This window comes from Homo sapiens, chromosome 6 (genome assembly GCF_000001405.40).
Source record: "Homo sapiens chromosome 6, GRCh38.p14 Primary Assembly".
NCBI classification, from domain to species: domain Eukaryota; kingdom Metazoa; phylum Chordata; class Mammalia; order Primates; family Hominidae; genus Homo; species Homo sapiens.
The window spans coordinates 166285889-166300816 of record NC_000006.12 but is presented as its reverse complement, the minus strand read 5'-3'; the positions used below and the strand labels follow the sequence as shown (position 1 = coordinate 166300816).

The 14928-nt window shown below is 42.6% G+C and overlaps 1 annotated feature.

The window, feature by feature from the left end:
* Positions 13598–13767: an enhancer, noted in NCBI's record as "active region_25429". NCBI's record gives its function as "activates an Ori minimal core promoter by ATAC-STARR-seq in GM12878 lymphoblastoid cells {active_cell/tissue: GM12878}" and the evidence as "EXISTENCE:reporter gene assay evidence [ECO:0000049][PMID:35858748]".

Sequence of the window (14928 nt, the reverse complement as noted above, 5' to 3'; positions counted from 1 at the left end):
CAGGCCCGGCCAGGCTGTTCTCCACTGCCTGCTGGCCCACAGCCCTGCGGCTCCAGCCGTCTGTCTGCATTCTGATGCATGTGTACAGAGAAACACTCTGTCTTGCTTTCTCTTCTTAAAAAGTTTTCTTTTTCTTTTCCCCACCTTCTCTCTTTTTTCTTCTTCTGATCACTTCTTGGCAATTTTCATTTGCTTTTAACTTTCTCTTCTTTTTTCGCTAAAGCCATGACCATATGCTGTCTCTAGCTGACTCAGCAGTTATCTTCCTTTCCCTTCTAGGGGGAGGCCACCGAATTAAAAGGACACAGACTGTACATTTCCATATCACTAAGAGAGAAAATCTCAAACGTTCTCATCACAAAAATGTCAAACTTTTGAAGTGATGGATAGATTAATTAGCTTGATTTAATCATTATGCATCATACTCAAAATTCATAACATCTGCATAAGTCCTGGAGGTGGCTTCTCACATATCCACCAACAGGTAGAGCGTCGAGATGCTGGTGCTGACTACTTTGCATGCATGGGCAAGCTTGAGCCTCACAGCAACCTTCTTTGCCTTTACAGGTATAGAAAATGAGTCTCTGGCTGGGCGCATTGGCTCACGCCTGTAATCCCAGCACTTTGGGAGACCAAGGTCGGGGGACGCCTGAGGTCAGGAGTTTCAGACCAGACTGGCCAACATGGTGAAACCCTGTCTCTACTAAAAATACAAAAATTAGCTGAGCATAGTGGCAGGCACCTGTAATCCCAGCTACTTGGGAGGCTGAGTCAGGAGAATCGCTTGAACCCCGGAGGCGGAGGTTGCAGTGAGCCGAGATAGTGCCATTGCACTCCAGCCTGGGTGACAAGAGCAAGACTTCATCTCAAAAAAAAAAAAAAAAAAGAAAAGAAAATGAGTCTCTGAGGGTAAAGCAACTGACAGATTCACCTCACACCTATTTAGTTTTACAGCTGGGCTCATGCCCAGGTTGGCCTGAGTACAAGTTCCTAACCAGTATGCAAAGGGCCTGTCCCAGTGCTGTGGGGCCAGTGGGAGACCAGGTAGGACTTCAGGAGCCTCCCAGGAAGTGGATTTAGGACCTTGAGGGTTCCATGGACCATAGATTTAAAACCTTTGATGGATAATGACCACAGCAGAAATCAGCAAAATAGGACAATAGGGAGGATTAACAAGGTCCGAAGCTGATTCTTTAAAAATAAGATTAGATTAAGCAACCCTTAGCAAGATTGATCAAGAAAAAAAAAATAACAAATTATCAAGACCAGGAATGAAAGAAGGGATATAACTACAGATCCTACAGATGTGAAAAGGATCCGCAGACATGCCGTGAACAGAAAGAGGCCCGGGCCACAGCCCTTCCAGCCCACTGCCCACAGTGTCATGCAGAGTGAGAACTCACCCTCATTTCCCACTGTGATTTTAGAAAGATATTTTTTCTGTGGTCAATACCTTCTTTGCCATAATTAAAAACAGCCAATATACACATGACTGAGGCTGAAATTCTGTGATTTACAATGTTCTTTGTAGGAGTGGACGCAAGGAGGATTTTGCTTTTATTTCCTTCATCGAAAGAATAGATATACAGAACTCCCCCAGCACACATCATCTCAAATGTTTTGAAAAAATCTTTCCCTTTTGCAAACGAGAGCCTAATTTGCATGGCCACAGCATTCATGGAGAGGGGGATGCCTGGTCCCTGGGGCGTGAGAACCCCAGTCCCCCTCCAACACCCACTGCCCTCTCTGAGCAAGCTCTGGACTTTAGCTCACCTCTCCGCCCCTGTAGATCTGTGCAAGAGATCAGCTTCCCACAGCCCCTCCCGCCTTCTAGTAACATCAATAAGAAGACTCACCTTAATTTCCGAGGTCTCACATTCATCACTGACTGGACACAACTGCTTTGTCAGTCTTGTAGATAAAGGCGGGGAAACTCTTTGGGAGGGGTCCCCCATCACTCAGGTAGGAGTGGCAACAACCAACTCATAGCCAGTTCAAGGCAGACATGGCTCCCTTCTGGATGGTGCCTGCCTCAGGGCCTGGGGTCAGTGGAGGGAGCTGGGCTGGGTGTGCCCCTCTCTGTACCTCACCCCATAGGGATGTCCTGTTGGAGCAGGGAGGGAAACATCCCTGCAAATCTACTTTGGACTACCTCCCAACATGCACTTGCCACTGTTGCTTCATGGTCGAGAGGCCAGCAACATTCGAGTTAAGACTGTTTGGGGATTAGAGAAAACGGCCTGTTTCCTTACTATAGCTCACGATGGAGGGGTCGGCATGGGGTTCCTGAGTTAGCATCATGAAAGCAGGAAATCTTTACTCCAGGGAGTTGTTTAAAAAACACTTATACGAGCCAGGCACGGTGGTTCACGCCTGTAATCCCAGCACTTTGGGAGGCCGAGGCGGGCTGATCACCTGAGGTTGGGAGTTTGAGACCAGCCTGGCCAATATGGTGAAACCCTGTACTACTAAAAATACAAAATTAGCCGGGTGTGGTGCTGCATGCCTGTAATCCCAGCTACTCAGGATGCTGAGGCAGGAGAATCGCTTGAACCCGGGAGGCGGAGGTTGCGGTGACCTGAGATCGTGCCATTGCGCTCCAGCCTGGGCAACAGGAGCAAAACTCCGTCTCAAAACAAGCAAACAAACAAATAAAAAACATACAAAAACACTTATACGAAACCAGCTATCTGGGAAAACGAGAAGGAGGACAGGCGCTGAGGGGCACTGGACGGCTCCGACGGGGGCCATGGGTCCCCTGTGCTGGCTCCGGTCCCAGGTCCACCCCTTTCTTGGGGAGGGACCGCCGTGGGGCCGCTTCATCTCTGTGCCCGCTTCCCCAGACAGAGCACAGCAGGTGCCGAGGCCCGTGCCTGGCACTCGGTAAGATGGCCTTGGCCATCGTCTGTCACCGTCACATCTCGTCCCTTGGTGCAGCCCTGCAAGGGTGAGCCTGGCTTGACTGCAGCCCAGCGCCGCGGAGACAATGGAACCACAGAGTTCCGAGACACTCGCTGCCCTTTGTGGCTCTCCTCATCTGCGGTGTCGTCATGCCGCAGAAAAAGAGCACACGCAGCACACAGGAGACAGGGACTTCAGACAAAGGGCCTCGTTCATCCACTTAAAGGACAACGAGCGCCCGCTTCTGTGTCATCCCAGGGTCTGCGGAGGGACATCGAGAGGAGTGGAAGTGTCAATTAAAGAAAACTGAAGAACAGATGAGCTCACATAGTTTCATATTTGTTACAAATCATGATGCTCTCAGGCCAACTGGATCCAGGGGGCAGCCGGGGCTATAGTCAAAGCCGCACTAAAGAGATGACTTTATCTCCCTACTCTCAACAGCAGGCATATATTTTGTGGAGATAGAAAGTTATGAGCACCTTTTCTAGGGATACCTATCTGGGCTTGCAGCCCAGCAACTTCCAGAAGAAACTATAGTCGCATGTCGACAATAAAATATTTACCAGAATTTTAGAAGAATGCATTCTCAATCTTCTCAGGGTAGCACCTCGTGCAACAGCACAGGAGAATATTGTGATCACACCAGTGATATTTTGCTGTGTGTAGTTTTTAGGTTACACTTACCTTTGTTTTAAAATAGATCTGGTTAGGATGATAAATGAGGAGCTGGGAAATGAAGGGATAGAGCGAGTTCTAATTACGTGAAGATCTCTAAGAAATAGTCTTGTGCTTTCTGAACCCAGGGGAGCGTGTTTCCAGTGGTACTGGAGACCTGGGAATAGGCTGGCTGGAATTGCCTGATGTCTCAATTTTCCATAGCCTCCCCCAGCACTGAACCCCATGAGCACGTACTTAGTGATGATGGCTGAAGATTCTATTTTTGCTGTAAAACACAGTCAGTACCATTAGGGTGAGCACGGCAAGGCAACTGGAGATGGCTCATTTGCTCCATAGTAAGCTACTGGGATTTTTTTAACGAGGAGAAGGGAGGGCGTGAAGTGTTTGAAGAGGTGGGAGAGGGGTGGGCAGGGCACCCAGAATGAGGGAAGACTTGGGCATGGAAGGAACAGGGTCAGCTGACGCCCACTGGTGTCACCTCTGCCCTGCCAGCCCTGGAGGAAGAGGAAGGAGAGAGCTGGTGAGCGGGAGGGAAGAGGAGGAAACCCACTTGCCCTGGGCTTTGCAAAGTGCTGGAAGGTTCCCTGCTCACTTCCCTCTCTCTCAAGCCAGCCCCTCCTCCAGGTCCAACCAAATTCTCCGAAGCTCAAAATGGTTCGGATCTTTCTCTATGAGAAACTCCTTCAGAGTCAGTTTTTAACGAAACAGACTCCAATCAGTACCATTTGTCTTTTTTGGACCACATCTGTGGGATGCATAAACAGAAGCGTCCTGTGTGGCTTGCTGGGGCTGTGCTGGGCTTGCTGACATGAACGTCCATAGGTACTTAGATTGCTTCATGTTGATTGGGTTGATCAAAACATCCTGAGTCACTCTTTCATTCTACAGACCAGTGTTTCAGATTTTTAACTGTTCTGCAATGCATGGATTTCTTTAACTGTAATAGCACCAATAACATCCCCAGATGGGATTGCAGAGAATGAAAGACTTGTTCCTTCAGCTGGGACTAAAGAGCCTGCTATTGTTTCCAGAGCATTGCTAGCTGACTCTGGTACGTACAGCTTGTTAGTGTTGTTGATTTCTTCAGGAAATTGAGAGAGAAAAAATTTCAAGTACTTGGTATTGTGGACAAATTATTAATCCCCCTCTCAGGACACTTGGCAGCTGGGTAATGCACCAGTAGACTGGTGCACATCTAGGTGGATTTCATGAAGCTTAAAGGGGATTCACCCTGCAGACTGGTTCTTTAATATCATTAGACTATGAACTACACATTTCCAACAGGGTGTGTTGACATGGCATGTATTTGTTTACCAGTAATGTTGGAAGGACCCAGAGCTGTCTCACATTTAGCTGACTTTATGCTGTTCCTCCCACCCCGCCCCAACACAAACACACACACACACACACACACACACACACACACACACACACACTTCTGCTACTGCAGACCTGATAGAAGGGCATGGAAAATTCTGCCTTGTGCAACTGACCTTCAGGCATCACAGAATAGAACAATTTTCACTTAAAGCTTTCTCTATCTGATTTTTTAAATTATAAAATTATATGTGCTCATTGTGCCCAAGGATAGAAATACATAAAGACAGAGTTAAAAGTCCCGATGCTCCAAGGTTCTCCTTACTGTAAGAATTAAAGAAAGAGGAAAAAAACACGAAAAGTGGCTCGACAGTCAAAGACAGGTTTATTTTAGAGAATAAACCTGAGAGGGGCTTCTGGCCGAGTGAGGTCAGAGGCACTTTCTCTTATAGACTAAGAGTTTTTAAGGATTCAGGGAGGGAACGTTTATCAGAGGCTTGGACTGCTTCTGTGTCTCCTTGTTGTGCTTATCTGGGAGGGAGGGTTGTGTCTGTTCCCATACATCTTTCTGCAGCTGCAGGCATACCCCCGCTTAATCCACCCCCGAGTTCTGCTTTTAGCTTCCCTATCTTAGTGCACCTGAAGAGAAAAGAATGTGCTTATTAATGCCCACTGTTTTACTGGGGCCCATTTTATGAGGGTGAAGTTTGGCAGTTACCCAAGAGACTTCCCCACACCTGCCTCTGTGCCTGAGCTGTCTTATCTGTGTTTTACTGTCTGCTCTTTCTGACTGCTTGTTGTTAGAAGAGAAGTGATTTCCTTGAAATGCATGAGGCTAGAAAGGGAGCTGGAACTTAAAGTGGTGGTGTTTGTCCAAGATGACAGTGCTCCAACTCTGTCATTTACTAAGATGGCCAAGTCAACCTGAAGTGGATTCTTCTGACATTTTTCTTTCAGCCTTAGATTTATTATTTTCCACACTTGTTATGATTCTGTTCTATGCATTTGCAATTTAAAAAACCTGAGGACTAATACAGTTATGTTTTTCTAAAAAACTTTCAGTTTTGGCTGGACACAAAGGCTCATACCTGTAATCCCAGCACTTTGGGAGGCCAAGCTGGGAGGATTGCTTGAGTCCAGGAGTTTGAGATCAGCCTAGGCAACATAGCAAAGCCCTATCTCTACAAAAAAAATTTAATTAGCTGGGTGTGGTGTACACCTGTAGTCCCAGCTACTTGGGGTGCTGAGGTGGGAGGATTGCTTGAGCCCAGGAAGTTGAGGCTGTAGTGAGCCTGATCACACCACTGCACTCCAGCCTGGGAGACACAACAAGACCCTGTCTCAAATATATATGTCTGATATTAGAAAAAAGACTTGCCTATTTGGTTACAAAAAGACTTTAGTAGTGCCTCAAAGGAGCCTGCCTGCCTGTCACCAGCACAGTGTCTCAGGCAATTGTGGCTGTTGGCTGTCAAGCTCCCACCCCTGGGGGACTTGTCTGCTGTTCCTGAGGACAAACTGTCAGGACAGCAGGCTGTCAGAGCAACCAGTTGGGGTTTGGTTTTCCCAGCGATTGCGGGCGTGCGTCTTCCATTCCCTCTTGCAGTGAGGAAGACTCTACCTCCTACGTTGCCCCTGCCAGCCCTGCTGCACCAGGAAACACCATCGGGTCAGGGATATCTGAGCTACGCATTCACAGTAGCCACTGAGTCCGAATTTCTTAGAAACATTCTGGTTCACTAAGATTCTTCTCCCACTTCAATTTTAATTTCATTTTGGTAAAAACCAGTCATCTCACAGATTTAGCAGTGTGGGGTGGATGGGCATTTTCCCCTTTTTGTCTTCTCCTTGCTTCCTCTACCAGTTGTAAGGACTTCTTGGGTGTCCTCTGCTGGTGGCCTCTTTCAGCTCATCTTAAATAAATAAGGGCACAATAAATCCAAAGTGAGAAAGTCATTGCCCTGATTCAGAACTGATGCTTCTTGGTCAAATAATGTCTTAAAAATAACAAAAACCACAATAAAAAATGCACCTCTGACAAGGTCCAAACCTCTGCTGCTCTCCAGCCCCAATCTGCCATGAAGATGAATGCACAAGAAGAAACCGTTAGATAAATAAAAACGCCTCTCACACAGCTTCCGCAAGCCTCCTCAGACGCCTCAGGAAACCCATTGTATTTGTATATCAAATAATTTGACTGACTGTAGGATATTATTCATTTGGTTTTTCTAGTCTCAAAAAATTTAATATCTTACAAAAGCTTATGATCAAGTACAAATTTTATTGTATAATTTGCAATAAATAAAAATACTAGATCACTGATGTCCTTTAAGGAAGATTACATGGCTGGGCATGGTGGCCCCTGCCTGTAATCCTGGCACTTTGGGAGGCCGAGGTGGGTGGATTACTTGAGGTCAGGGGTTTGAGATCAGCCTGGCCAACCTGGTGAAACCGCATCTCTACTAAAAAGACAAAAATTATCCGGGTGTGGTGGCCCACGCCTGTAGTCCCAGCTACTTCGGAGGCTGAGGCAGGAGAATTGCTTGAACCCGGGAGGCAGAGGTTGCAGTGAGCCAAGATCATGCCACTGCACTCCAGCCTGGGCAACAGAAGGAGACTCCATCTAAACAAACAAACAACAAACAAAAAAACAAAAAAACTCATGACTATCCAATAGTAAAATTGAAAAAAATAAAAGACCAATTAGGAGAAAGTGAAATGGGAAAATTATCTGTGATCACTGTAATCTCAGCAGACATGATTAATTTTCAATTGCCTTCCCTTTTCTGGGTTTCCTTAAGCGAACAAAGAAATAAGATTTAAACAAAAGTACTTCAAGCATTATGTGCTTGGAATTAGATATCAGTTCAGATTTGAACACGGATGTGGTTCAGAATGTAATTGGTGTGTCATTCTCAGGATGAGACAGCTTGGCTTAGCTCTTTGCTAAATGTTCCATATCTTTGAGAGAGTAGAGGAATCAATTTTTGACTGTTTTCCTTCAATTACCATTTGAAATCCTTGTTTGGTCCTTTTTGCTCTTATGAACTCGTTAACTCACATGTTTACCTATATTTAACTCATGCATTAAAATGCTGCCGGTCTTGGAGATTGCAAAGAAAAGGTGGTAGTGGAGGGGGACTGTCGCGGCCCCTGCACAGGGGCTCCGCTGCACACGGCCAGGGCCGAGGCCCACGAGGCGGCCATGCCCTCCTCTTTCAGCCGTTGTTCCTCTCTAGCTACTTCTGCAGCAGCCGATGCTATCCCTGTTTGTGCTTTTGCTTCAGAGAATTAACCGTCTCTGTGCCTGGCCCTTGGCTTCTGCCTGTGGAAGCCATTGCTAGATGTTAAAGCTCAAATATCACCTCCTGGTGGGAACCGTTTCTTGCCCAGAGGAACCACCCTTTCTTTTTTAACTTTTATTTTAGGTTCAGGGGTACCTGTGCACGTTTGTTATATTGGTAAACTCACGTTCCAAGCGTTTGTTATACAGATTATTTCATCACCCATGCATTAAGTCCAGTACCCAATAGTTATCTGTTCGGCTCCTCTCCCTCCTCCCCCTTCAAGTAGACCCCAGGGTCTGTTGTTCCTTCTTTGTGGTCATGAGTTCTCATCATTTATCTCCCACTTATAAGTGAGAACATGCAGTATTTGGTTTTCTGTTCCTGTGTTATTTTGCTAAGGATAATACCCTCCAGCTTCATCCATGTTCCCACAAAAGACATGATCTCATTCTTTTTATGGCTGCATAGTATTCCATGGTGTATACGTACTGCATTTTCTTTATCCAATCTGTCATTGATGGGCATCTAGGTTGGCATGGAATCAATCTAAATGCCCTCACTTTCTAACTCTCCTCTGATGCTGACCATGCTCTGCCCTGAGCGTGGCTAGTTTTGTGCTCACCTCTTCTCTCCTCTTAGAGTGCATCCTCCCAGCAGCTGGAACCAAGGAGCTGTCATTTACCTTCACGCTCCAGGTGCACCTGCTCACACAGTGTAAATGTGCACAAATATCTCTTGCAGCAATGAGCAAGTGACAATGCATCTTACTAAATGAGCAACTCATCCCATTTAGTTGATTTATCAGAAATGATCAATACAGCTCCCGTAAAAGGGAACTTACTTTCTTGGCACATGGAGAAATCTAAAAGCAGGTGGGATGACTAAGTAAAGGCTTCAGTTGAATCAGAAATGGAACTGGCGTACTGGTGACCACCTCAGTTTTCTCCACACTCATTCAAACTGTCCCTCTTCTTTGTTAGAGTTTTAAACAGGATGGGATTCTCCATTCCTGCTAGACTTTAGTGCTCCAATTTGCACTAGAAAATCTTGCCTTGTTTACTCTTCTATTACCTTTTATATCCATCTTTACCTAAAGTATTACACACCCAAGTACATTTATAATCTGATGATGTCTCAACATAGCAGCCAGAAAGCTGGTAACGCAAACATCAATTCTACAGGCGCACCAGTAGCAACCAGAAATGGGTAAACAAATTGATGCCCTTTTGCTAATAGGGTCTCCATGAAAGCTAGAGGCCATGGGTGCTGGGAAGGATGAGGGGATTTTTAAACATTATTTTATCAGTATCAGATTCTGCTGGTAATTAACACATATTTCATGACTGCCAGTAGGATTCATCGGCAGCTTTGTTTGTGACTTGACAGCTCCCACTTCCAGTTTGCAGAATGTGATAACACTGTGCAGTTTTTCAGTTTGTGAAAATGACAATTTGGGGGTAATTTGGGCAGGAACTGTAGGTGAACACGTCTAGGGCTTAGTCCAGTTATTAATTTTTTTTAAAAAATGTCTTTCTAACCTCGGTTTTACTGTCTGTAACAGCATTTAAATAGATAAATTAAGAAAGCAAAATCTATTTTTAGGATTCTTTGGTTTCTAGTGAAGGGGATCAGGAAATGCCACCTCAGGATACGCCACTTTGGTATAAGGATTATTGTAACTATTGAGTTGAAGGCATTTGAGTTCCTGAAATCCCTTACCTGCCTAAAACAGGAGCCTACCAAAAGAACTCAGTTATTATAAATCCCCTCCCAGGAGCAACTCTAATCTTTTTTCGGAGAAGAGAAGTTGGCATCCCACCCAGAAAGACATTGTCACAAGACTGTCATACCTTCTGTCTGTTCTCCTGAGGGCCCATTTATCTTTCCAAAAAGTAGTGTGCTTTCGGGCCAGGCACAGTGGCTTATGCCTGTAATCCCAGCACTTTGGGAGGCCAAGGTGGGCGGATCGCCTGAGATCGGGAGTTCCAGACTAGCCTGACCAACATGGAGAAACCCTATCTCTACTTAAAAAGAAAAAAAAAGTAATGTGCTTTCCTTAATTACCCTTTCTCCCTACTCCCTTTCCCTTATAGACCCCTAATTCTAACCACCCCCTGAGTGCTCCCATGAGTACACATGACTTAGCAAACATTTGTATGATTTTTCTCTTGTTAATCTGTCTGTCGTCAGTTTAATTCACACACCCCCATCACTGAACTTAAGAGGGTAGAGAAAATTTTTTTCTTCCTTATTCTCACAAAAGAAGCCAGCTCTGCTTCAATGTGATTAAAGAAGAAAGTGATTAGAAGGCTATGGGCTCAAAAAGGGGTGGAAGGAAAAACTGAAGAACCAAGGTAGGCCGGGGATCCAGTCCACAGGAGCTAATGCAGATTCTCTCAGGGCCGTGGATGGATCTGCAGCTCTGCTCTGCACTTAGGCCACTTTCTTCAGGCTGCAGATTTCAAGGGGAGGGCAGCTGTGGTGTGAGTCTTCCCAGGAACTTATGGTGTGTTGGGGGTGGTACTCCAAAGGGAGATGAGGATTCTTGGCCAGAGAAGGGTGGAGTGAATGCTGCCCGCCAGCACAGCTCGACATGCCTGCTGTACCCCCTGTGCGCTGGGTACCCTATGTGCACTCCACCATATGGCCACCATAGTCATCTGTGGACCACGTGTCTGATACATGCCAGGTGCCATTCAGAGAGTTCAGATGCAGCACTAAACAAAATGTGCTCATGGGGCTTACATACTAGGGTGGAGACAGTGAATAATAAATAACAAGGGGAATTGTGTAGTGAATGAGAAGGTGATATGCACCATGGAAAAAGAAGAGTAGAGCAAGCTAGCAGGTGAAGGGCGATGGGGTGGTGGAGGCAGCCTGCAGTGTTAGGCACTTCCGGAAGGCGTTATGGAATAAGTGAATCTGAGCAAAGACTTTAAGAAGGTGAAGGGCTGGCTCATCAGATCCTAGGGACAGTGGTCCAGGCAGCGGGATCAGCTGCATGGCAGGACTGAGCCACAGGGGAGTTTGATTGACTAATGATGAGTGAGCCCAGAGGGGAGCCCTGGATGAGACATCGGGGAGTTGGGGTAGATCATGCAGAGTCTTGTAGGACCCCATGCTTATGGGGTGGGAATTTTCAAGGAGAAAACTGAAGTCCAAGGATTACTTGCCCAAGTCTACATGGCTGTCAAGTGGCAGAGCGAATATTTACACCTAAGGAGTTCCATGCTCTAGAACCCAGCACACTCAAGTTTGGTAAACGGAACTGCACCATGGGGCCATCTCCTACCTCTGTGAAAGCCCCTCCAATAAGGGGAGGAACATAGCCAATGCAGCCACGCATTTGCCGGAGAGCTTGCTATACTTTATCAGTAGTGGCTTAATGGACATTTGAAACATTTGAAAAACGGCAATTAAATACAGAATACATACATATATCTCTATATTTATATATATCTCTATATTTATATATATTTATATATATATCTATATATTTATATATATTTATATATATATCTATATATTTATATATATTTATATATATCTATATATTTATATATCTATATATTGTATATATCTATATATTTATATATATCTATATATTATATATATCTATATATTTATATATATCTATATATTATATATATCCATATATTTATATATATCTATATATTTACATATATCTATATATTTATATATATCTATATATATTTATATATCTATACATTTATATATATCTATATATTTATATATATCTATATATTTATATATCTATATATTTATACATCTATATATTTATATATATCTATATATTTATATATATCTATATATATTTATATATATCTATATATTTATATATATCTATATATATTTATATATATCTATATATTTATATATATCTATATATATTTATATATATCTATATATGTTAATATATATCTATATATTTTTTATATATATATATATGTTTATATATATCTATATATATTTTTATATATCTATATATGTTTATATATATCTTTATATTTATATATCTATATATCTATATATTTATATATCTATATATGTTCATAGATATCTATATATTTTTATATATCTATATATGTATATATTTATATATATCTATATATCTTTATATATCTATATATTTATATATATCTATATATCTATATATATCTATACATTTATATATCTATATATGTATATATCTATATATATCTCTATATATCTATATATGTATATATATCTCTATATATCTCTATATATCTATACATGTATATATATCTATATATATCTGTACATATCTATATATGTATATATCTATGTATATATCTCTGTATTTATATATATCTATATATATCTATATATTTATATATATCTATATGTCCATATATCTATATATTTATATATATCTATATATTTATATATATGTATATATATCTATATATAGATATATATATCTTTATATAGATATATATATCTTTATATTTATATATAGATATATAGATCTATATAGATCTATATATCTTTATATTTATATATAGATATATAGATCTATATAGATCTATATATCTATATAGATATATAGATATATATATCTATATAGATCTATATATCTATATAGATCTATATATCTGTATATCTATATAGATCTATATATATCTATATATCTATAGATCTATATCTATATATCTATAGATCTATATATCTATATTTATATATATCTATATATCTATATTTATATATACATATATTTATATATATCTATATATATTTATATATATCTATATATTTATATCTATCTATCTATATTTGTATATATCTATCTATATTTATATATATCTATCTTTAAATATATATATATGTTTAAAGATATATGTGTATATATATACTTTTTTTGAGACAAAGTCTAACTCTGTTGCCCAGTCTGGAGTGCAGTGGCATAATCTCGGCTCACTGAAACCTCCACTTCCCGGGTTCAAGCAGTTCTGCCTCAGCCTCCTGAGTAGCTGGGATTACAGGTGTGTGCCACCATGCCCTGCTAATTTTTGTATTTTTAGTAGAGACGGGGTTTCACCATGTTGCCCAGGCTGGTCTCAAACTCCTGACCTCAGGTGATCCACCTGCTTCGGCCTCCCAAAGTGCTGGGATTACAGGCTTGAGCCTCCGTGCCTGGCCTGTACTTCTTCTTTGATAAATTGTTTATAGCTATTTTAAAACATTTTCTGCTGAGCATATGAGAGGTGACAATAATGACTAAGTGAGAGGTGACAATAATTACTAATCATTGTAAAGTATTTAGTATCTGCTAGACTTTGCTCCAAATACTGGGCAGATATTGACTCCTTTAACTCGTTTGACCCACTTATGAGGCAGGTGCTATTTTGGAGATGAGAGCATGGAGGGCCGGAAAGGTTCATGGACTTGGCCACCGTCAGAGATCAGGAGGTCAGGGAACCAAGGCTCAAACCTCTAGCCTAACTCTTGCCAACACGTAGTCTCTCTCAGGCCGGCAGGATAGGAGAAGGGAACCTGTTTAGTCATCAGTAAAGAAATTCCCTTCAAAACGGTTTCATCTTCTTCCTGTTAGGTCAGCACTCCGTCCTGGCTGCAGCCTCTGATAGCCAAGCGGATGAGGTCTGCTCTGTCACAGTAGGGTGAACAAATGAAGAGAAACAGGAAGTAACCTCAGTTGTTTTTCCCTATTATGGCCAGGTGGCAAGTAGGTCTTTGTGGAGCCACTGAATGCAAAAGCACAGAAAGGCCATCCCCCCAGCGGCCCCTTCCACCTGACAATGAGGAAGAAGGAATGCCTGCTTCCCAGGGGCCTTGCTCCTGTTGGCAGCAGTTTCTGTCGCTTGGGTGGAAAAGGGTCCCCACATATGTGCAGGACCAACTCTCTAGACTCGTGTGCAGGAATGATCGAAGAATTCGAGCAGCAGAGAGATAATTGTTATAGTTGTCCAATTTTCATCAAAAAGATACAAGAAAAAATAAAATTTATTACATTCTTAAATGTGGTTCAAGATAATGTTGAGTTTAAAATGATCAAAAAAGTATTATAATTTTATAAAGTATCATGATTTTAATGTAACTGAAATAGATGCATAGCTCACTCATCTTTCCAATTTTCAAAAAGAACATGACCAGTCCGGTCGCGGTGGCTCACACCTGTAATCCCAGCACTTTGGGAGGCCGAGGCAGGCAGATCACAAGGTCAGGAGTTCAAGACCAGTCTGGCCAATATGGTGAAACCTCGCCTCTACTAAAAATACAAAAATTAGCCGGGTGTTGTGGAACGTGCCTGTAATCCCAGCTACTCAGGAGGCTGAGGCATGAGAATTGCTTGAACCTGGGAGGTGGAGGTTGCAGTGAGCCGAGATTGTGCCACTGCACTCTAGCCTGGGCGACAGAGCAAGACTCTGTCTCAAAAAAAAAAAAAAAAAAAAAAAAAAAAGAACATGACCCTATCAGTTCCTTTTTTTCCCCCAGCAATATAGCTGCTTAATGAGGAGAATCCATGTTAAACTATGGTGAAGCCGCTCTGGATGAATAACAGAGCAGCCCCTTCTTGAAGCCGTGTGCCCACAAGGAAGCTCAAGTTAAGCGCTGGGTTAAGTTCCGATGGTTGGTAAAAGGAGCAGACAAGTCTCCTCCCTGACTCCTCACTGTATTTCCAAAGGTGGGTGCTCAGACGACACAAACTGTGGAGGGAACCCCAGCATTTCCTGAGCCCCCC